The sequence below is a fragment of the Homo sapiens genome, chromosome 2, assembly GCF_000001405.40.
Source record: "Homo sapiens chromosome 2, GRCh38.p14 Primary Assembly".
NCBI lineage: Eukaryota > Metazoa > Chordata > Mammalia > Primates > Hominidae > Homo > Homo sapiens.
In genome coordinates this window covers 115,100,765-115,125,189 of record NC_000002.12, presented here as the reverse complement: position 1 = coordinate 115,125,189, position 24,425 = coordinate 115,100,765, and the positions used below count along the sequence as shown (strand labels likewise).

At 39.0% G+C, this 24,425-nt stretch overlaps 1 protein-coding gene and 1 long non-coding RNA gene across 12 annotated transcripts in view; one reads left to right on the top strand and one right to left on the bottom strand.

Moving 5' to 3' along the window:
* Nucleotides 1-24,425, bottom strand: part of DPP10 (dipeptidyl peptidase like 10) — a 1,403,140-nt gene that overhangs the window by 720,591 nt on the left and 658,124 nt on the right. The window lies entirely within an intron of this gene.
* On the top strand, nt 10,156-12,961 carry LOC105373574 (uncharacterized). Its single transcript, XR_923236.3, has 3 exons — nt 10,156-10,371; nt 11,511-11,581; nt 12,853-12,961. It is a non-coding gene; the product is annotated as an uncharacterized LOC105373574 (long non-coding RNA).

Sequence of the window (24,425 nt, the reverse complement as noted above, 5' to 3'; positions counted from 1 at the left end):
TACTTCTGACATTTGAATTCTAGACCTTTGGATTACCCCTTTCAGCAATGCACAACTTTATGAATTGGACAACTAATCACCACTAATGCCCGAGTTAAAGTATGGAATTCCTTTCACAGTTATGGTAGATAGAGAAACAAAAGAACTTATGACTGGAGGAAGGTTGAGAAAGGCTCTTTTTATAGCTGCATGGAGTCTGGTTTTATTTGTAAAAGGAGTGGTTAGGATGAATTATCTCTAAGGTGTCCCTGGCTGTCCTCTTGCTAAGTAGATCCAGCATTAATCCCTAGAAAGTCAAAGAACAGAATCAGAGTAACTCCACAGTTATTTTTTTAGTTCATTTATTTATAATGGGTTTATTCTATAACTGTAACTATTTGTTAAACGTTAACTAGATGTCAGGTACTCTTTTAGACACTAGTGATACCTTGGTTAACAAACAGACATTTCCCATTTCATTACAAACTTAATGTAATAAAATTTACATGATAGAAACAAAGACATATAATTACATAAGTAACTAATTGGCTATAATTCTAGGTATTAGGAAATTGCATAAACATGGGATTTGATCTTGTCTTGAGTGGTCACATAATAATGTCACATAGTAAATGGCCCTGAGAAAGTATTCTTCAAGTTGGTTTCTGAAGAAACATCAGGAGTGAAGGGAAGATAACTGGGATTCTAGTCCAAGGAAGGTATAAGAGAGCTGCCATGCAGGGGCTTTATTAGGCCAAATGAACCTTGTGTGCCTAAGAAATGTAAATTAAGCCACTGCTGCTCAAGATCAGATAATGAGGGAGACAGTGAATAGCAAAGATATGGCTGGAGAGGTGTGCAGAGGTGAATCAAGAATGCTCACGTGGAGCTATGTCAATAATTTTGGAATTTATTCCAAAAATAATAGGAAGTCATTGAATGGTCTTAAGCTTGAAAAGGGCATAGTCAGGCTGAGCATGATGGCTTATGCCTGCAATCCAGCACTTTGGGAGATGGAGGCAGGAGGATCGCTTGAGTCTAGGAGTTTGTGAGCAGCCTGGGCAAGATGGCAAGAGCCCCACTTTTACATAAGAATAAGAAAATTAGCCAGGTGTGGTGGTATGCTTGTAGTCCCAGCTACTCAGGAGGCTGCAGTTGGAAGATTGAGCCTGGGAGGTTGAGGATTCAATGAGCCATGATTAGGCTACTGCACTCCAGCCTGAGTGACAGAGTGAGACTTTGTCTAAAAAAAAAAAAAAGGCATAATCAGACAGGCATTTTATATATAACTGATATAACTGGGCCTGTTGGGTGCGGTAATAAAATAATGGCTAATATTTGCTGACTATCTTCCTGTTCAGCAGGCTTCTTTTGGGGCAAACGTCTATTAACACATTAATATTTAAAACAACCCAGTGAGGTTGTTGGAGTAGATAGTTAGGGAGACATGAGCACAGCAGGAGAGGGCTGCCCCAGGAATGTTAGGCAACCATCAGGTGATGGTCAGGTGATTGTTAAACTGTCTCTCTAAAATAATAATTGGTCTCAGCTGACACCAGGAAAAGACGGTCTCCTAGCAGATAGAAAAGAGCTGAATCTGTCATCAGCCGCTTCCTGATAAGCTCTCAGGATTTGGATGACCGGGCTCAAATATGTGCACCAAGAGGAAAAACGGTGGAGTTTAACCAGTAAATGATCTTCCTTTAGGAACAGTTGATTGATAAGGGAAAAATGCCTCAAATGAGCATTTGCACTACTTCAGTAACTGCACTGCAAATGTGACCCCTCCCAAGTGCTAGCAGGCCACTGAGCATGTGAACAGGCCACCCCAAGGGAAGAATAAATGGAGAAGAAACACAAATCCCAGAACCATGCCAGTATTTGAAACCTCAAATCAAGGGACAGACAGGGAACTAGGATCTCTCAAGTCACCTACTTGGCCCTCTTCCAAGTGTACTTGACTTCCTTTCATTCCTGCTATAAAACTTTTTAATAAACTTTTGGTCCCGCTACAACTTGTCTTGGTCTCTCCCTCTGCCTTCAACCTACTTCTGCCCCTTGGCTAAATTCTTTCCTCCAAGGAGGCAAGGATTGATTTGCTGCAGATCCATATGGATTTGCTGCTGGTAATATACATTGGTGCTGTGACTCAGGCACATTCCCTAGTGGTAAGACACCTCTATGCCTTGCTTTCTTTGGCTGAGGGCGTACAACCCCTGTACATGGATTCTTTCTCCCCTTTCACTCTCCTGCTTACTAACCAATGCCCAGAATGATTCCTCTTGGTCACAGTGGCTTTGTTCTCAGCTGATCTCACAGCTCCCCCTGATGAGTGACTCATGGGGTTGGGAAGGACCTTGGAGTCTGCACAGAGTAGACCTGAGGCACTAATGGCCCTCTTGGACAGGAGGCTCCTGAGAGTGGTAGGGCTAAAGCCTAAGGCCGTGTAATGTTCAAGGTTTCCTCTGCTTGTTTCCTGAAAACCTGCACTGCCTATTCTCCTGTTTTGTCTGTCTGTATTCTGAAATGGTCTTGTGCTCCTTCAGGACCACATTCCCAGTTTGTTATTTATATGTCCACAGCTTTTGCTGCATTGTGTGGCAACAAAGAAATGGGCTTTCTCATAGATGTGTCTCGGCTCATTGCCAGGACACACACTAATTGGACCTCTGGCTCTGCCAGCTCTTGTAACTTCTAGAATGCTCTGAACAAGAGTCACTGTAAGGTCTTGGCAACAAAGATATAGGCTGGCCCAAGGCCACAGGCATAAGAGACCAAAGTACCTGTAGGACAGAGATGAAGGCTGGTCCCAGAAATTGGATGGGACCAAGGTTAGGGGTACCCAGCAAGCACTAGTTCATTCCAGAGCCCCTTGGATGAATGGGGGAAACCCTGTTCACTCTGATCTGCCACAGGCAAAGGATTCAGGGAAAAACAGGGGTGGGAGGGTGCCCTCCTCTTCTCTTCTCTCATGTGTTGTATCTTCACAAATGGTTAATTGTACCTTCATAAAACAAGATGGGACCAAGGTTATGGGTACCCAGTAAGCACTGGTTCATTCTGGAACCCCTAGGATGAATGGGGAACACTCTGTTCACTCCAGTCTGCCATAAGTGCAGGAAAAAGATGTTAGGAAAACTAGAAAGGATGTCTTCATTTTCTTCTCTCCTTTGTTCTTTCTGCACATATAGTTAATTGCGTCTGCACACCACAGGACATGACCCTTCGATGCATACCCAAACCTGGGAAAATTTTGATCCCCCCAAATCTTAAAGCAAAAATCTAGTTTTCCTTTGTAATACTGTTCAGCCTAAAAATGATCTGGTAGAAAATTACAAAAGTCAGCCTCAGGACCCAGTGCCCCTATACAAGAAATACTCAAATTAGCCTCCTCAGTCTTTCAAAACCTAGAGCAGAATAAGGAGGACAGGGCTAAGGAGAAGGAGAAATGCACAAACAGGAGGGAGTCTTAACTACTGGCTGCTCTGCAAGCCCACCAGCCCCCTCCAGGTTGCTGTAAGGACACTCCTCTAGATAACTACCATTGGTGCAGAAGACCAGACCACTGGAAAAAGAATTGCCCAAATGGGCCAAATGGGAGAAACCCCCACATAGCCTGCCCCCTCTGCCACAAGCTCAGCCACTGGAAAAAGGATGTTCCAAGAGCCAAAAATGCCCCTGGGCCAGGCTCCAATCCAATAAAGGCCTTAAACTGAAGGGGTTCCAGCTCCAGCTAGCTCCCAGATCAGACATTGCTGGCCATCAACAGGACAAAGCCAAGGGCAACTCTGGAGGCAGGAAGTAGTTATAAATTTCTCTTTTGGGTTCGAGAGCTGCCTAGTCTGTGCTAATCTCCTTCTCTAAGCAACTCTCCTCCAAATCCTGTTGGGTAATGGGGGAAAATGGTATCACTTCCCTCGAAAAGAAAAGATTCACACACCTTTATATTACTTAGGGGCCAATTACTATTCTTACATAAGTACCAGGTAATGTCTAAAAGCCCCACACCCCTTTGGGATGGGTGCCTGCTTAATATCTACCCAAACTCTGAATTAATCTTTCCCTCTAGTAGCCCTATTTCTCCTGGGAAAGTTACCTAAATCTTTAACTTCAACCTGGATAGTCCTACCTCAAGGGTTTAGAAATAGTCCATGTTTACTCAGAGAAGCCCTAGTAAGAAATCTAACTGAGCAATCCCTTGAGGGAGAATAACTTCTAAAGTATTCAGATAATCTCCTTATCTTCTCCCTCTTCGTAGTACTTGCACAGCAACATAACTTCTTAACAGAAGGAAAATTACTTTAGTCTAATTCAAAGGTTATAAAGGTAAAGAGATTTTTTGGTAAGAAAGGTTATAAAGAAAATAGATTTTATATGAGAAGTGATCTTGCATGGTACATTCTTGTCCTAAAGTAAAATGACTAGTTGTTTACAAAGAGGGATGTTTAGGACAAGTCAAATCATCCAAGTATGTTGTAGGTGACCTATGTAAGTCATAAACAAATTGTGAAAGGGAATTTATTTAAAAAAATGTAAAATTGTAAAGGTTATTAGGTCTACTAAATGCTTTAGTAGTATAAACTGCTACTGTGACTCTTAGTAACTGTACTGCTTGCCTGCTTTAAATCCATTAAATTCTAGGCAAGGCATGGGAACATACAGAGTTAGGCATGCCCCCTAGCTATGCTAGAAAGGGTCAGACTTTATTGTGTTTTGACATCTCTACCCTCTCCACAAATATAGAAGGCTCCTTGTCTTTAAGTCCAAGGAACCTTCTATATTTGTGTCCAATCAGTTCCCCAATGTCTTCTGACTAACTAGTCTGGAACTTGTACCATAGCCTATGTATCCCTGACATCTTCAAATCCCCAGGAGTCTCTCTCTTCCAGCACCAATCCAGAGGCATTCCATCCTTCCCAGGATGAGGAGGTCTATCCAATTAACCCCCCTTCTCATAGGACTTGGCATTATAGCTGGTATGGGTACTGGAATTGCTGGAATCACAAAAGCCTCCTTGGCCTGTAGCCAACTCTCAAAGGAAATACCCAGCAACACTGATGACATGGATAAAACTTTAACAACTATGCAACAACAAATTGACTCTTTAGCAGCCATAGTCCTCCAAAATTGTCAAGACCTAGATATGTTACTGGCAGCACAGGGAGAAATCTGTTTAGACTCAGATGAAAAATGTTGCTTTGGGGTAAATCAATTGGGAAAAGTACAAGACCACATCAGACAACTTTTAAATTGAACTTCCAGTTTATGAGAACAAGACACTCAGAACTGGCTAAATTGGGAAGAAACCTGGAAATGGTTCTCCTGGGATTTTCCCTTTTTAGGCCCACTTGTTAGTCTTTTTGGTACAGGTACATGTCTTCTAAGCACAATAACCCAATTTGTCTCCTCTTGCCTTCAGGCCATCAAATTCCAAATAATCCTCAATGAGGGATACTGTCCTCTCAATATTCAAGAGGCATCCTTTTAGAAGACCCTAGAATGCCCATCAGAGAAACACAACAGAGTGGAATTCCTGCCCTTCTCCCTTGGACCTAGCTGGATACCACTTTCACCAACCCATGGAGCCACTTTTCCCTGACAGCTAGCAAGAGACCAAGACTCACAGAACATACTACCACAAAAGACTGACTTTCATCCATTATACCAAATAATTGAGTCTTGTACTCTTGAGGGCAGAAATGCTAGAGTACCTAGGTAGGCATACTCGAGCAGGACAGGAGAGGGCCCCCCATCTGGAATGTCAGGTGACCATCAGGTGATGATCAAGTGGTTGTTAATCTGTCTTGCTAAAACAATAATTGGCCACAGCCAACACCAGTCTCCCAATAGACAGAAAACACCTGAAGCTGGTGATTAGCAGCTTCCTGATAAGATCTCAGGACTTGAGCAAGTGGGTTCAGGCATGCACAGTAAAAGACAAAATGATGCAGTTTAACTGGTATATGACCTTTCTCTGGAACACTCTACTGGTAAGGGAAAAATGCTTCAAATGAGCACCTGCACAACTTCAGTAAACACACTGACCATGCAGCCCCTCCTAAGTACTACCAGGCCCCTGTGCATGTGGACAGCCTGCTCCAAGGGAAGAATCAAGGGAGAAGAAATGCAAACCCTAGATGAATGCCAATGTATGAAACCTCAAGTCAAGGGCCAGATGGGGAACTTGGATTTCTCAAGTTGCCTGCTTGACCCTCTTCCTAGTGTACTTGACTTGCTTTCATTCCTGCTGTAAAACTTTTTAATAAACTTTCACTCCTGCTCTTAAACTTGCTTTAGGCTGGACGCGGTGGCTCACACCTGTAACTCCAGCATTTTGAGAGGCCGAGGTGGGTGGATCACTTAAGGTCAGGAGTTTGTGACCAGCCTGGCCAACATGGTGAAACCCCATCTCTACTAAACACACACACACACACACACACACACACACACACACACACACACAATTAGCTGTGTGTGGTGGCATGTGCTTGTAGCCCCAGCTACTTGGGAGACTGAGGCAGGAGAATTGCTTGAACCCAGGAGACAGAGATTGTAGTGAGCTGAGAGATTGCACTACTGCACTCCAGCCTGAGTGACAGAGTGAGACCCCGTCTCCAAAACAAGAAACAAAAAACAAAACAAAAAAACAAACTTGCCTTTATCTCTCCCTTTGCCTTCAACCTACTTCTGGCCCTCAGCCAAATTTTTTCCTCCAGTTAGGCAAGTATTGAGTGCTGCAGACCCATTTGCTGCTGGTAACAAGGTAAATATTATTATCTTCATCTTACAAAAAGCTTTAAAAATTGCCTAATATTGCTTAGCTAACCAGTGAGCAGTCTGACTTGAAAGCTGGCACTGTTAACTTCCACACTTATTTGGTGGTCGATAGTGATAGAAATTACTTTGGAGTAAATAAATGGTCTAGGTAAAAGATAATATTGGTTCAGACTACAGTGATAGTAACAGATTGGAAAGAAATGGAAAGACTCAAGAAATATTTGGGAGTAGACTCAGCAGAAATTGGTGATTGATTGGCTATAGTAGGTAAGGGAGAGAAAGGGATCAACAGTAACATCTAGGTTTGGGTCTTGAGTAAACAGGAGAATAGCTTTGCCATTTATCTAGATTGGAACCCATCTCAGAGAAGGGATAGGTTTTGGTGAAAAAGATTTTTCTTAAATCAAAAGTTATTGCCAGGCAAATATCATCCCCGAAAAGCTACAGTGAGTGGTTATTGCATTTGAAAACCTAGTTTTACTTAATATCCTGATATTTTCTCCCTCTTAGATGTTCATCCATGCTCTCCACAATATGATTACTCTGAAGGTGTCTGAGGCAATCAATACACATAGAAGAGGACCAGAAGGAAGAGAGGGCATCCAAGTATTTCCTCCCCTCCCCGACCCTTAAGGTTCCTTGTCTAGTTGTATCTGTTTCTTTTTATAGCTTCGTAATTATTTTCAAGAAGATAAGGCTGGTTCTCATCATCTTCTTTTTGTCTTATGTTCAGCTTACAAAGCGTTTTCAGAAATCTATGTACAAGTCAGTACTCCAAAAGTGTGATGAAATATGAGAAATACAGACACTTTGATTTTTCTTTTTAGAGACAGGCTCTCACACTGTCACCCAGGCGGGAGTGCAGTGGTGCTGTCTGAGCTCATTGCAGCCTTGAAATCCTGGACTCAAGTGCTCCTACCAACTCATCCTCTCGAGTGGCTGGGGTTATAGGTGAACACCATCACACTCAACTAAATAGATACATTTTGAAGTATAAATACTAGCAGTTATTTTTATACAGTTTATGTTAAAATACTGAGCTCATTGGTGTAGAAACACACCACAGGAAAAGCTGGCTGGTAAAATTGCTGTTTTGGCTTTCCACCATCATGGTAGCAGGCAGAACATTGCAGTGAATTTTCAATCTCCTTAATTCCCTTTTCACTTTTTAATGATAAAACCACATATCATTTAACTTGCTGTACCTTGTAAATAAAATAGGCTAAATAATCTACTCTTTGTCCTGGTCAAACATTAAGCAAGCAATCACCAGATACTAATTGAGTGCTTACCATGGCAAGGCAATACAACAGGAAGAGTGTAGAAACAGGAAGTGTACGAGTTTTTCTCACAGAACTTTGTCATCTAGCTCATGGGATAAGATATGAACATGTTTAAGAAACTATGAGTGATTATGAGGCAGAATAAATAAAAAGATACAGCAAATGGAAAAGATTAATTGAATCATATATATGTTCTATTAGTTCCAAGAAAAGATAAATTCTTTGTGCACAAGAAATCTGATAAAAATTTATGGAAGATGAAGGTTTTGAGCTCAATGTTACATTATGTATTGATTTTAACTAGAAAGAGAGAAAATACAAGAGGAAAAGATTGTATGACATTCCAATTGTGAGCCTCTCAAGAGGAAAGCATAATGTTATAGAAAATATACCAATAAGATCAATAGTTAGGAAATGCGTGCTTTACCTAAAGTTTACAACAATTATATATGTGTAAAGAAGTACCTTTTCTGAGTCTCAGTTTTCTTATCTTTAAAATAAGTGGCTTGGACAAGGTTTTCTCTATGGAATCTTTGAAACTTAACATTTTTATTATAAAGAAAGAATAAGTCCTTCCTACTTGCCAGCAAGACAGGAAACTAACAAAAGGTAGTCTTGGAAATATGCACATCACAGTTTGAATCTGATAAATTAAGATTAGGATCATGGCAGACCTATTTATTAACTAGGAAGCTTGGGAAAAATACATAACCTTGATGACTCTCAATTTTCTCATCTATAAATAAAGATGATAGATGATAAATAGAGGTTATAGATGAAAATATAGATATAAAGATAGATAAATAATTAGCGTTTTCAATAGACTTCTGAAAATGCTATGTAATGGCACTGTGTATAGTAACTTGTTATGTAGAAGGCACTGAAAAAAACTTGGTTTCATCCAATAAATCCATTAACGAAATAGCTCTGGGTTGCCATCAAGAGATCTGTGTTCAAATCTCTGCTGTCCCATAGACTGTGTAAGTGTCTTTGGGAAAAAAAATGAGATTTGAACTTAATCATTGTGTCTATTTAAGTACCCCTCAAATATTTTAGAGGAAATCAAAAGGTTAAAGTATATGTGGGACAATATGAATTGTGTAGTATGCAGCAGTTGAGAATATTAAATGGCTAGAGAATGCTTCAGTTACCCCAAATTTCACATTGTTTTTGTCTTTTAACTAGGCTAATCTATCCCTCACACCACTTTCCTTCTGCTTTTTTTGGATAATATACAACCTCTTTTCAAAGTACTTTGCGATCCCTGAATACTGTGTAGGTTGTGCACCATTTTCACAACACTGTGCTAATTAACATCACCATGAATAATTATCTGCAGCTTCACAATTATCTTGAGCATTTTCTTTTTATATTACTAATTTTATGGATTACGAGAAGAACACCATAAAACACACCACCAGTTTTTATGCCAGGAATATTTCATCTAACTTAAAAATGCCATGCGGTACGTTTCAGAGATAAATGCCACTTATAAACAGGGTATTGTAATGTGCACTGAAGTTGCATGTACTAAAGATTGGAGTAGCTATTGGTAGTCAATGAATAATGGATGGGAATGATTAATGACTTTGTGAGATAAGGGATAATTAGATTTGGCATGTGCATCCACTATTTAAGCAAATTGGTGTGTGGAATGCATGGTTGAAAGAGATAGAGACAAGTGACATTAAGCTTTGATGATTCAAACGGGTCTCCTGAGAATAGATGATCCAAATTCTCTTCTAATTTTTCCCCAACAACTCAACACAACCATAAAGGTAACCCTGGATCTTATTGTTATGCTAGCAATGGTTGTCACAGCAGCAGAGTAACACACACAGAAGCCCAGGCAAGCCTATTTACACCTTTCTGCCTTGGGGTCATTTACCCATTTCCCAGAGCTCAGTCATTTACTCAAATAATGCTCCACTGTGTATGGACACAGTTAGGTTGGAGGACAAGAGCTCTTGGCAAAATGATGAAGAAACAACCGTTTTCTATAACACCTCCTGCAAACCTCCCCGTAGGTCTCCGATGTGCACACACATATCGGATATGTGCACACACATATCGGTCATACACATAGACAAGCCTACCTGTGCCGTCTTAGGCAATGAACCAGCATAGTGCCCTATGACTGCTCACCTGTTCACTTTGTGAACAGGTACAGGTACCTGTTCATTTTGCAGGCAGTGTAACGCTTTGGATTTTCTTTATTCTTATCAAACTATTTATGTCCCACTTCCCTTGTTGGCAGTTTTCTAGTTAAACCAGGGAATTAATTCCAACGTGTTAATGCTATACTTCTCAATCTCGAAGTAGAAACACATTGGTAAGTTACAATCAGAATAGAGGCAGGCGAAAAGTAATTTGTTACTAATTCTAGTATTTCTTACTAGTGTGACATAAAATGATGTGAAAGAAATTTTATATTTTGAATTGGACATTTTTCAATGTTATCAGTACCAAAAAATACTCACTTGCGTTAGAATGTGTGTTTACTTTCTCCTAGAGAGACAAAGGTAAGTGGAGTTAGAACTTGAATGCAGGAGCCTGAGCAGAATGAGGAGCGGTAAAAGTGGGGTGTTTGGTGGCACATGTAGAGAATCTAGATCGTGAATATAACTCCTTGAGAATAAATATTGGTGGGTGCTAATTGATAAATGAGAATTTTTTCTTCATTAATATTTACTGTTTTAAATGGATTCATGCAGACATAGTAGAATGCTTGAATGGGCATGACTAGGAATTAGGAATTAGGAGTGAGACTTTTATTAAATCAAATGCATGCTCATATACTTTCTCTTTTTCTATGTCTTTTCAAAGTCAGAATAAATATGTAAAGATAAATCTCCAAATTTAATGTTTTGTTTGTGAAGAAACAATTGCAGTTTGAGGCATACACATGGACTGGGGGTATTCTGGAGGTCCAAAGAACAAAGAGAAGGCTAGAGGTTTTATAAAAAAGGAGATATGTTATATACTGTTCTTTGAGAAAGTTCGCTGACACTAGTAAGTGTTTGGGGAGCTGGCAAGTTCGTATTGGTGAGCAATGGTGGTGGGCAGAATTAGTCCTAGCATTGCAGCAAGTCATCTCAGAAGCTGTAGATAAAACTGGTTTCGGGTTACAACAAGCAATTTTAGTAGTCAGACTTGCAGAGAATTACATTCTTGGAGGAATGTTTTATAAGCTGAGTGCTTTTCCCCCAGCTTCTAGACTCTGTTTCAGTTTGGATATGACAAGAATGACTCAATGTGTATGATCAATTATAACAGTTTTCAATAGGGCAATACACAAAAAGAATAACAGCTAAATAAGAACCAAAACATAATATTAAGGGTTGCACAAGTTCTTGATATCTTAATACACCGCTCTTGTAAACTCCAGTTTTGAGCAGCCTATGTAGAACGTTATATGTTGCCCCAAAATATGTATCTCAAGGGTTTATTATTCTTGGACTTTTCACATAGATGAAGGAAGTGGAGAGGAGATGAAGCATAATATGGCGAATACTGGAAACCTAGTCCTCTTCCACCTTTATGTAAGTACCAAGGAGACAGAGAAAATGGACATGTATGATTTAATGCATACTCAATCTGCACGCTAGTGAGTACGAATTCACTATTGTTTGACTTCACACTAATCAGATTAGAAGTGTTTTCCTTGGGCCAAGGGGTGGGACTGGGGAGGAGGATTCTTATGGGCAAAAAAGAGCAAAAAACGTGTCTAAGATATACTTCATGAAAATATTTAAAATAATGAGAATTTAAGGCTAACAGAAGACACATTTGGGGGCAAAAGAACCATTTGGAACATTTAGACTTTAAAAAGCACATATAGACACATTTAAATATACCCACATTATGTATATATATATATAGCATATATACAACATATGAAACATAATATATGGTATATATAACAAGTAAAACATACAAAACAAACACCAAAATACAGCATATATTGTATGTGTTATATATTTTATATATGTTGATATATAATATTACATGTTATGATTATATAAAATTTAGTCCAGACTGACACAACACACACAAATATACCACACACACACACGTAACTTAGTCACTTTGGGAACCAGACCTATGTATCTGCAGAGTAAACCTATGCAAACAACTTATATCAATTAAACTAGTTGTGTTTTTATTCATGAAATAATGACTCATAGACCACCAAACATATGAACCAAATGTGAACGAAAATACCAGAATGGGGAAGCATATGGCTGACTAAAGCAGAGGTAGAAATTATCTACAGCACAGACTTAAGAGAAAAGCAAGCACTTGTATTCATAAAAGAAGAGAATGCTGCCAAAATAAAAGAGAATTATTAACTATAGTCGCCAAATTGTACAGTAGATCTCTTGAACATATTTCCCCTAACTGAAATTTTGTATCCTTTGGCCAACACCTCCCCGCTACCTCAGCCTCTGGTAACCACCATTTTACTCTTTACTTTCATGAATTCAACTTTTTTCTTGATTTCACATATAAGTGAGATCATGCAGTATGTATTAATAACAATGTATTATATTTTTGAAAACTGCTGAGAGGATGGATTTTAGATATTCTTATCAGAAAAAATGGTAAGTGTGAGAGGTAACACATATGTTAATTAGCAGGAGTTAGCCATTCAACAATGTATACATACAGAATTTCAAAGCAACTTGTTGTACATGATAAATATATACAAATTTTGTCAATTAAAATAACAATAAATGTTTATAAAGAAACCATATAAAAAGAAGTAAAAGAAAAATAATGTAAAATAAAAATTTTTAATGTTACTTTATAGAACGGAAAGGAAAATGAATATACCTAAGGATCTAGCTGATGATCTGGATGATAAAACTTGAGAAAATGTCCCAGGAAACAAAAAGAAGAAAAGACAAAGGGAAGAATAATAAAGGAAAAGATTATTTTAATGGAAAAAATATACAATATTCTGGATTTTATCTAACAAGAGTTCCAGGTGAAAAGAACTGTGATAGTGAATGAAAGAAACAAGGAAATAAATTAGAAAAAGATTATCTTCAGAGAAGGGAAGGCACATCTTCTTATTAAAAACATACAAAGGCTGATTAGAATTTTAAAAAGCTCCAAATCCTGTGAAGTTTCAGAACTCCCAGGATAGGGAAACTTTCCTCAATCTTCCATAGAGAGAAAAAGTAAAACATGTACACCACACAGCAGGAATCTGATTGGCCGCTTGACTTCCCATCAGACACTGAGTACTAAAAAGACAATGAAGAAACACTTTGAGGAAAATTATTTCTACTTTTCATTAACTTACCAGTGAAGGATAATGAAAAAACTAAACCCAGTTTTCCAAATGTTCAAGGATCTCGTGAGAAATCTACCTCTTGAGGATTGCTCTGGATGGATCCTATTACATGTGGCCTGAATTTTTCCCTGCTCTGTCACATATTTCAGGCCTGAAGCTTGCCTTCCCCCAGCTGCTGGGAGTATTGGTGGCTGAAAGTTTGCAGCTGAGTTCCTCTCCACCCACCATCCCAATATTGTCCTGGTTGACGAGAGTCACCTTGCCCAAGATCACACCGCCTCCTGGGTGGAACCTACACCCCATGCCTACTCCCTTGTGGCAGCTGGAACAATGACAAAGGGGCATCTCCACCCAAGAGATTCCCTGTGAAATCAGTTGAGGCCTTTGTTATGAGTGTTCCACAGGCCAGCTTTTTCTTTTACTCAATCTTGCTCCCCTGTTTAATCTCACTTTGTCTCCCCTTATCCCCCACCAAGTTGATCCTTAGGAACAAAATCCAATCAATGTCCTATCAATTTCCTGAACACAAATCTTTGTTTCAGAGTCTGCTTACTGGGAAACCAATGAGCATTAAAAAGCTATACAACGTAATTTAAAAAAAAAAAAAAGCAAAAACACCTTCAAGAAAGAAAGTGAGAGGATGATTATGAACATGAGTTAGTGGTCACCGAAGATGTGTGGAGAAAACATAAGCACATAAGAAAGGAAAAGCTACTACTTGTGTATGCTTGGGACATTATCTTTTGAGCATTAGAACTTTAGTGCCATAGGATTGCGTTTCCTTCTCCACAGTTTCAATTTCAGTATTTGGTTTGCATATTCACATAATTTTGAAATCATAAATGTCGTTTTTATTGTGCTTATATTTTTAAAATCAACCTATAGTAAAGCTAGAGCACAATTTTAGCTACATATTAAATGTGAAATTTGTAAACTTTACAAATTTAAAATACCAATATAAACAAGCTCCAGGAAAGGAAAGAGAACATATGGTTGGGTAAGTCACTATGTCATTAAACTTTTGAAAAGTAAAATAAAATGATACTATCTAAAGCTAGTAAATCAGGGGAAAAAAATCAAAATATTTATTTAAACTGTATAAAGAAAACTACCTGAAGAAACAAAACTGAGAAAATATGAAAAGAAAGACTATTCAGAGATGAAATGTGTATTGGTATGTGAGAAATTTTATAGTCTTAATCTGAGACTCATCTATATATATTTTAATGCTATAGATAGTTCTCTAATTTAAAATATAACTTAAAAAATAAATAGCACACATCAAAAAACTATTTAAATACATTATATTTAAATAATGTAACTTATAGTAAAATAACTTAAATCCTTTAATTTAGATAATGTCCATACTTCTCAAAGTGCTTTCATACACTGCTAAAGCACAAGTCATTTATAGATCACTTCTCCTGGGAAAATTGCTCCTTTTCCTAGTAATTCATTTATTTTCATCTCCAAGACAGGCAAGGGAAAATGTCTTTTTGTCCTTTTGACAGATAAGAAAACTAAAACACGGAGACTAAGTTGGTTTGCCTAAGATCATAAAACTGATCCTGGTGGTACAAAAGCTCTGATTTTTTCTTACTTCCAAACCCAGAATTTTTAGACTTTCCTCGTCATCACTATGAAATGGTTGATCACCAAAAAGTTAGTCTGGAGAAACTGAAGTGAGAAGTCGATGTAAAGGAGGGTGGGAAATCGAGAGGTAATTATTATTTTCTTCCTGACTTTTTTGCCAGGCGCTGTGGTAGGTGTTTACACAGAGTTTACTTCACTAATCCTCACAAGTTCTTTGATATATTTTATTTTGCCCAACTACCATATTAGAAAACTGAGGCTCATACTTGCTAAGTTACTTATGGGAATCCATGTAGCTTGAAGATGGCAGAGAATTATCAAATTCTCAAACTTGTGTTTTTGTCCCTACAGCAAAGTCTCTCAAGCTCAGCATTGTTGAAAGTTTAGGGTGAATAATTCTTTCTTGCGGGGGGCTCTGTTAATTGTAGGATGTTTAGTGTAAAGTCCGGCCTCTATCCAATTGATACCAGTCACATTTCCACATTCATTTGTGACAACCAAATATGCTGCCAGGTGTCCCCAAGGATTCAGCGTGAAGGAATCACCTCCAATTGAGAGCCACTGTATTCCAGGAATGGATAATATTTCCTTGAGCTGTGTTAAAAAATATCTCCTTAATAGAACTTACAATTCTTTAAACTGAAATTCTCTCTAGCTTTTTCTTTGTACGTCACCATCAGATATTTATTGACAACGTTGAATTTTTTTTTCTTTTTTTTTTGAGACGGAGTCTCGCTCTGTTGCCAGGCTGGAGTGCAGTAGAGCAATCTCAGCTCACTGCAACCTCCGCCTCCTTGTTTCAAGCGATTCTCCTGCCTCAGCCTCCAGAGTAGCTGGGACTACAGGCGCCCGCCACCACGCCCAGCTAATTTTTTGTATTTTAGTAGAGATGGGGTTTCACCATGTTGGCCAGGATGGTCTCGATCTCCTGACGTCGTGATCTGCCCACCTCGGCCTCCCAAACTGCTGGGATTACACGCGTGAGCCACCATGCCTGGCCGCCAATGTTGAGTTTTAACTGAACCCTGAGATTCTAGAAAGCATTAGGGTTAAGAAATCCCCAAACCTCTTTGTTTTCCAGAAAAGTATTACTACAAGGGGCAATCCTTCCCCAGATGACTTGAGTAAGATTATGAATATTCTCCTTGTTTACTTCTGACAAGGCCAGACACACACACGCCAAATCCCTATTATTTACTTTATAAATGATCAGTTTATGTTAACATCAAACATCTTTAATGACATAAATTCAGGATTTTTCTACATAGCTATGGCTGCTCAAATGGATGAGGAGGTGCCACATCTGATACAGCAGGGGCCACATCTGATACAGCAGGGGCATTGTCATAGTTCCACCATACCTCCATTCAACCAGTCTCCTATATTTCTCATCCCTGTTTCTCAACCATGAACCCAACTTCTCTTTCACTGATCATGCCGCAATAACATTGTCAGTGAGATTTTTGGACCAACATTAGTTACAATCTCAAGGTCATTCAGGACCTGCAAGCAGGTAAATGATTAAAGCTAACAGGAATGAAATAATAGGTAATGGTAGAAAAAGTGGCTATGTTGGATGAAGCTAAAATTCAATTTAAATTTTTTTTTCAGACTTTGGTTATAGAAAATCTGTAATTCCTGCACTAGATCCCCACACAGGTTTTAAATTGGCTTACTGGTAGGCCAAATGTCTCCAAGAGATTTGTTTTGTATGATTTGTACATTGTTTAATACAGTAATTCAAATTGCTTACCTGCATTTAACTGAGACTGAGTTGACATAAAGAATTGGATTTCTGACTTCTTCTATGTTGGAAAGATAGATTTTACATTCAGCAAGGAAATAATTTGCTTGAGCTTTGTAGATAATGTGCTCTCTTTTTGCGTGGGGCGTAGGCTTTCAAATTCACCCCAATATATTGGTTTATATATGGCTGTTCAATTCTTGTATATTACCTACCAAACCTCTGCTGGCATCTGAGTTTGCAAACTTTGGTCTATCTGTGCAGTGATTTTTTAAATTCTACTCCAGATTTACAAATCCACAATCTCCTTTCCCTGCATATTTCATCTATGTAAGTTGAGATACATACATATTAGGAATAGGTAGATTCTTTTCTAGGGGTAAATATCTATGGAGGGTCCATATATCACCCAGAAAAGTAAGCTGGTGAAAGTGAAAACCAGTACCATGAAAAGGGTGAGTAAATCACTGGTATTCTGGGTGATCAAATTAACAGCAATAATTCTGAAAAGATTAATTTTATGTGAAGTAATCTCAAAAACTTATACTGATCAAATATGTATAAATTCATGAATTTGGAAAAAAATAAAGGTTATTTGATGTCTTTTCCCTTCAAACAAAGATGAGATTATATTAATATATTCTTTTATAAAAGATAATGTCTTGTTTTAAATTTTGCACATTCAGGTTTTCTTAAAAAGACTGACTAAAAATGTTCTATAAGTCTTTCGAAATTGTAATAGTAATATACTAACGGAACAAATCACAAGTACTATAAAATTGCCTTAGTCATTATCTTTCTCAAAATTAGCATTTTAAAGTACATTTTGCATTTATAATAAGATGGTAATGCATAAGATACTCGTGATGTAAATTGAAAAAGATTTTGTTATACCTATACCTATCTATCTATCTTCTATTTATCTACCTACCTACCTAGCTAGCTAGCTAATCTGAGTCATTGTTTAAAAAACAGCTGTCGAAATTTTGGCTCCTGGATTTTAAAATATAGGCTTTGATTTTCTAGTTATCTGACATATGATAAATCTTATGGCTAGCACCAAAAAAAAAAAAAAAAAAAAAAAAAAAAGCTATAACCAATCCCACAAACTTTTTATTGTTCCTTCTTTATTGTCTTTCCCATCGGCTTTCTTGTTTCTCCTTTCTCTTACTAAACAATTTATTTTTAATCCTTGAGTTTCAGTATTTTAAGGAAATTCAGTTTTGTATATACTTAATTAGACTGAACAATAGACTGTCAAATCGGTGATCCCTATTCCCTTCATGTTATAATACACAAATTAAGTAATATAAAAATTATCAGGGGAAAAGTCTCTTAAATATCTCTTTTAAAAATACCGTGGTTGAAGTTATGATGATCATCATTAATTAGTGATTATAGAAAATTGTTGGTTTAAGAACTTTTTTTTTTTTTTTTGAGACAGAGCCTAGCTCTGTCGCCCAGGCTGGAGTGCAGTGGCTCGATCTCAGCTCACTGCAAGCTCCGCCTCCCGGGTTCACGTCATTCTCCTGCCTCAGTCTCCCGAGTAGCTGGGACTACAGGCACCTGCCACCACGCCTGGCTAATTTTTTGTATTTTTAGTAGAGATGGGGTTTCACCTTGTTGGCCAGGATGGTCTCGATCTCCTGACCTCATGATCCACCCGCCTCGGCCTCCCAAAGTGCTGGGATCACAGGCGTGAGCCACCGCGCCCGGCCCGGTTTAAGAACGTTTTAAGAGAGTACACATCAGGCTGGGTGCAGTGGCTCAGGCCTGTAATCCCAGAACTTTGGGAAGCTGGGGTGGAAGGATTGCTTGAGCTCAGGACTAGATCAGACCTGGGCAACAAGGCAAAACTCTTGTCTCAAGAAAAAAAAATGTAAAATTAGCTGGGTGTGGTGGCATGCGCTGTAGTCCCAGCTACTCGGGGAGCTGAGGTAGGAGGATCGCTTGAGCCTGGGAAATTGAGGCTGCAAATCAGCCATGTTCACACCACTGCACTTCAGTTTGGATGACGAAGCATGACCCCTGTCTCAATAAACAAAAAACAAACAAACAAAAAAACAGAGACAGAGAGAACACATCTTCTGATGCAGTCCTAGTTTAAGAAACTTTATTCCCTCATTTCTAATTCGTGCATAAAGTTTTCTCTTGGGGTGAGAGTCCTTGCATTGGATGCCAAGAAAGCCATCTTGTAAAAAATCAGTCCTGTAAGACACTGACACAGAATGGAAAAATATTCTGTTACTACCTCACTACAAGATACTGTCTGTGGAAATTATTAGTAATTCTGAGCATTCACACAATCACTGTTCAAAGTGACATTATCAGAGACATGGCATTGACAAGAAGAATAGCAAAGCAGCAAGGATGATAAAGTAATTTGCAAAAGTACAGTAGGCCATCACAATGATGCCAAAACAGTTTTAGGTGATGGAAATTCTATGTATGTTCATGTCTTCAGTAGTAGGAAACAGTCTGCATAGCTGGGTTACATCAGAAGTTAATCTGACCTGTGACTTAAAGCCTCTAAGTTACATTAAAAAATAAAAATTAGAAGGTTTGTGTTGCCATTAGGATGTAACATTTCTTTTAAGAACTTTCATTTGTTTATTCGAAGTCTTTTGCCTGCATGATTTTCAATATAATCACTGAAAATTTGTGTAATTAAAAAGAAACAACAAACAAAAGAGTGAATGATTCATCAGATGTGCCTGCTTAGCTTCAATACATATTTTGTTAGAAAATATAAATAATTTATTTGCCTAGGATTTATATTAACTTAATAGACTTGGAGCCTAGTTAATTATCTCTAACTATGCTAACCCATTTCATGTGCAGAATCATATTGATATAGTTTGGTATTTGTCCCCTCCAAATTTCATGTTGAAATGTGATCCCCAGTGTTGGATATAGGGCCAAGTGGGAGATGTCTGGGTCATCGGGGCAGACTCCTCATGAATGACTTGGTGCTGTCACCATGGTAATGAATGAATTCTTGGTCTGTTAGTTACCATCAAATCTGATTGCTCAAAAAAGTCAGTCCTGCTTCTCCTCTCTCTCTCTCTCTCTCTCTCTCTCTCTCTCTCACCATGTGACACATCTGCTCCCCTTTTTCCTTTCCTATGAGTGTAAGCTCCTTGAAGCCTTCACCAGAAGCAGATGCTAGCACCATGCTTCTTGGACAGCTTGCAGAACCATGAGCCAAATAAGCCTCTTTCCTTTATAAATTACCAGTCTCAGGTATTCCTTTATAGCAATGCAAAACAGACTAATATACATGTGGATGTGTAAAATCATGACATAATCATCTCAGAGAAAAAGATTTTAAGGAAGAATAATCAATAGAGAGGTAGACCTAGATATGAGTATGTGCTAAAGACAAACGGTAAAGTATAAACTCTGTGAGTCATCTTTGGCAAACTAGGTTATTTCCTTGTAACCATGGGGAAATTCAATCAATTCAAGCAAACGTTGATTTTATAAAACAGATTTTTTTTTTTTTTGAGACGGAGTCTTGTTCTGTCGCCCAGGCTGGAGTCCAGTGGCACCATCTTGGCTCACTGCAACCTCTGGCTCCTGGGTTCAAGCAATTCTCCTGCCTCAGCCTCCCAAGTAGCTGGGACTACAGGTGCGTGCCTCCACGCCCGGCTAATTTTTGTATTTTTAGTACAGATGGGGTTTCACCATGTTGGCCAGGATGGTCTCAATCTCTTGACCTCGTGATCCACCCGCCTCGGCCTCCCAGAGCACTGGGATTATAGGCATGAGCCACCGCGCCTGGCCAAAACAGATTTTTTTTCCTACATAACATAAGAGAAGATCAAGTAAATTTTTGACTTAGTTGATCAGGTACTTTTGATGTTATATTGGAGGGCAGTGGTCTCTCACTGAGTTATTGGCAAAGGAAAAAACACAGACTACCTCTTACAAAAAACAGGGATGAAACCTTACTCAGTGTGAAGGAACAAGGAAGATCACATATATTATCACTAAGGAGGCTGTAGACAGATTGCTACTGCCTATATATAAATGAAATTATGAATCAATCAATAATAAACAGCACCATTTGAATTGTTTCTCTAGAACTCAGAATTTTCATGGATGTAAGTAATATCTCACTCTATGGTCATGTGAAACATTTGCAAGACATATGTTTAGGTCTATAGCCAGGTGTGGTGGCAGCTTCTGTAGATCCAGCCACTCAGGAGGCTTAGGCAGGAGGATTGCTTGAGCTCAGGAGGTCAAGGCTGCAGTGAGCTATGGTCATGCCACAGTACTCCAGCCTGGGCAACAGAGCAAGACCCTGTCTCTTACAAAAAAAAAAAAAAAAAAAAAAAAGACATATGTATTTGACATGCTCCAAAATCTGAAAATTTTAAAGCACCAACATGACACCACAAATGGAAAATTCCATGTATAAATACTTAATACAAACTTTGTTTCACATACAAAATTATTTTAAATATTGTATAAGATATTGTATAAAATCACCTCCAGGCTGTGTGTTAAGGTGTATATGAAACAGAAATAAATTTCAGACTTGGGTTCTATTCCAAAGATATCTCATTAGGTACAGTATATGCAAATATTAAAGCATCTGAAAAAATATGAAATCCAAAACACTTCTGGTCCTAAGCATTTTGGATAAGTAATTATCAACCAGTACATTCCTGGTTGGGAAGCAGAGCAAAGCAAACTAATTTATTCATATATTAAATGGTTATACATTGAATTTTTGCTATCAGTCAGGCACTATTCTAGGTAGAGGGAATAAAGTCATTCCCCTTTCTGATTCTTCATGGAAAAACGATTTTGAATTCTCTTTTGCAGTTAAGAGTAACCATACAACCTAGTTTTAGGCTTTCTCCATTAAAAACTTCCCATGCATAATCATCTATATTCCTTTCTCATTTCCTAAAATTAGAAATTGAGGTGATATCCAAGTTAACTCTGGAAACCAAGTTTTGGAGATGGTGGAGCCAAAATCTGAAAGAAGACTTGGTTCAAGAATCATTGTCTGAGGCCAGGCGTGGTTGCCCACGCCTGTAATCCCAGCACTTTGGGAGGCTGAGGCAGGCGGATCCCGAGGTCAGGAGATCGCGGCCATCCTGGCTAACATGGTGAAACCCCGCCTGTACTAAAAGTACAAAAAAATTAGCCGGGCGTGGTGGCAGGTGCCTGTAGTCCCAGCTACTTTGGAGGCTGAGGCAGGAGAATGGCATGAACCCGGGAGGGGGAGCTTGCAGTGAGCCGAGATTGCGCCACTGCACTCCAGCCTGGGCGACACAGTGAGACTCCGTCTCAAAAAAAAAAAAAAAAAAAAAGAGAGAATCAGAATCATTGTCTGAAGGAGAATAACCCAACTGAAAACCCCTGTTTTAGCTGTTGTAAGAGAGAGATGAGATTTTTATGTATTAAGTTATTTCTGTTTTAGAGTTCATTTTTTATAGCAGCTATAATTAACTAATCCAAATGGTTTCAGCTCAAATAAAAGAAATATTTCTAACATAACAAGAACTATAGGAAGATTCTACAATTTAAAGGTATCATCAAGGTCCCAAGAGATTATCATCTTTCCACAGTTTTCAGTGTGTTGGCCCTGTTGTCCTTGGGTTTGTTGTTACATAGCCACAGAGTGGCTGCCACGGCTTCAGACACTGTCACTATATGTGAGAAAAGGAGATGGAGAGGACAGGATGTGGAGAAATGGTGGCTGCGGCTGCAAAAAGGAGTTTTTTTTTTCTTTATGACTCTTTTTTTTTTCAGTCAATGAAGGAAATCTGTACCAAAACTCCCCCATGGCCGGGCGTGGTGGCTCACGCCTCTAATCCCGGCACCTTGGGAGGCCGAGGCGGGTGGATCACAAAGTCCCAAGTTCAAGACCAGCCTGGCCAATATGGTGAAACCTCGTCTCTACTAAAAATACAAAAATTAGCCGGGCGTGGTGGCAGGCACCTGTAGTCCCAGCTACTTGGGAGGCTGAGGCAGGAGAATCACTTAAACTTGGGAGGTGGAGGTTGCAGTGAGCCAAGTTTACATCACTGCACTCCAGACTGGGCGACAGAGTGAGACCCTATCTCAAAAACAAACAAACAAACAAACAAACAAACAAAAAACCCCTCCCCCATGTTATTAACTGAATGTTAATGTTCCCCCAAATTCATATTTTGAAACTCTAACCCTAAAAATGATGGTATTTGGAGGTGAGGCCTTTGAGAGGTAATTAGGTTTATATATGGTCATGAGGGTTGGAGCCCCTGTGAGTGAAAGAAGAGAAAGAGGGACCAGAGCTCTCTATCACTCTCTCTGCCCTGTGAGGACACAGTGAGAAGGCAGCTGTCTGCAAGCCAGGAAGGAAGCCCTCACCAGGAACCAATATCTTGATCTTGGACTCTCCAGCCTCCGGAACTGTGAGAAAATAAATGTCTGTTGTGTAAGTCACTCAGTTTATAATATTTTGTTATAGCAGCCCTAGCAGACTAATACTTCCCACTGTACGTTTACTTTTTTATGTAACTCTATGTTAACTTCCTCATTTCTCCTATTCATAATTAGTCAGAAGAAATCTGGACCATGTAACTAATTTGCAGAATTGGTTCAGGTACCCAAATATTTTGCAAATTGGTCCACTGTATTGATAACCTCGTATTAACTGAACTAGAGTAGCAAGACGTTGCAAGTGCGTTAGAGGCCTTGGAAAAACATGTGTGGCCTAGAAAGTGTAAATAAACCCCATGAAGATTTAAGGGCCAACCACAGCAGTGATGTTTTTAGGAGTCCAGTTATCTTTGGCATGTTGAAACAATCCAATCAAATTAAAAGACAAAGTGCAGCACTACTTTGGATTCTAAAGACAGCATGTTTCACACTTGAGAATACTCATTCTACCCATTAGTGTGTGACAGCAAAGGCTGCCTGTTTTCAGTGAAAACTAGTGAGGAAAAATGCTTCGTAGGGGGTGTAGGAGAAAGTGGCTTCCCTACTTGGGCCGTATGATCCAAAAGATAACATATTATTACATATATCAGTGGTAGGAAAGAATGCAGAGTTTATGGCAAACTCTGACAGGAGAATCACAATGTACACCCCTAGAGTTCTGGTCCAAGATCATGCCACCTCACTGGAGAATTATACTATATACCAAAAGCAGTTATTAGGAGATATGTGTCAGCCAACCACGAGATATCAAGTGATTTTGTAACCAGATATTTCCATCATGAATTTCTGAGAGTCTCATCCAGCCATAAGGTGGGGTAGGTGCAGAAGAAATCCATCAAAAGATGGAATTGCACACCTGGGATTGAGCAAGAGCAGAAATAGAGGGCACAACTATGATGTGTAATCAGGTAGCCCAGACTCCATGTCATCCATCACTATTACATCAAAATCCCTCCCACAGCACATACCTGTGGCTGCGTGATGAGGACAAATATGACTGGTGGGCCGAGCAGGAAAGTGACTGAGCTTGGTTCACAGGGGAGTTGGCTCAGCATGTGGGTAAAAACTAAAAGTGACCCTAAAAAACAACTGTAAGAATAAGTTCTCCCAGTGGTGAGAGCTGCAAGTGATGCAGTTTTCCATTTGGTGTGGAAAGAAAAGTGGCCCAAGATAAGGATGTTTACAGACTCATGGACTGTGGTGAATTGACTAATTGTTCAGGGGCCTGGAAGGATAAACATTATGACTGAGAAAAAGGAGATATGGAAATTAGATATGTGGATGGATCTATGGGAATGATCATAAT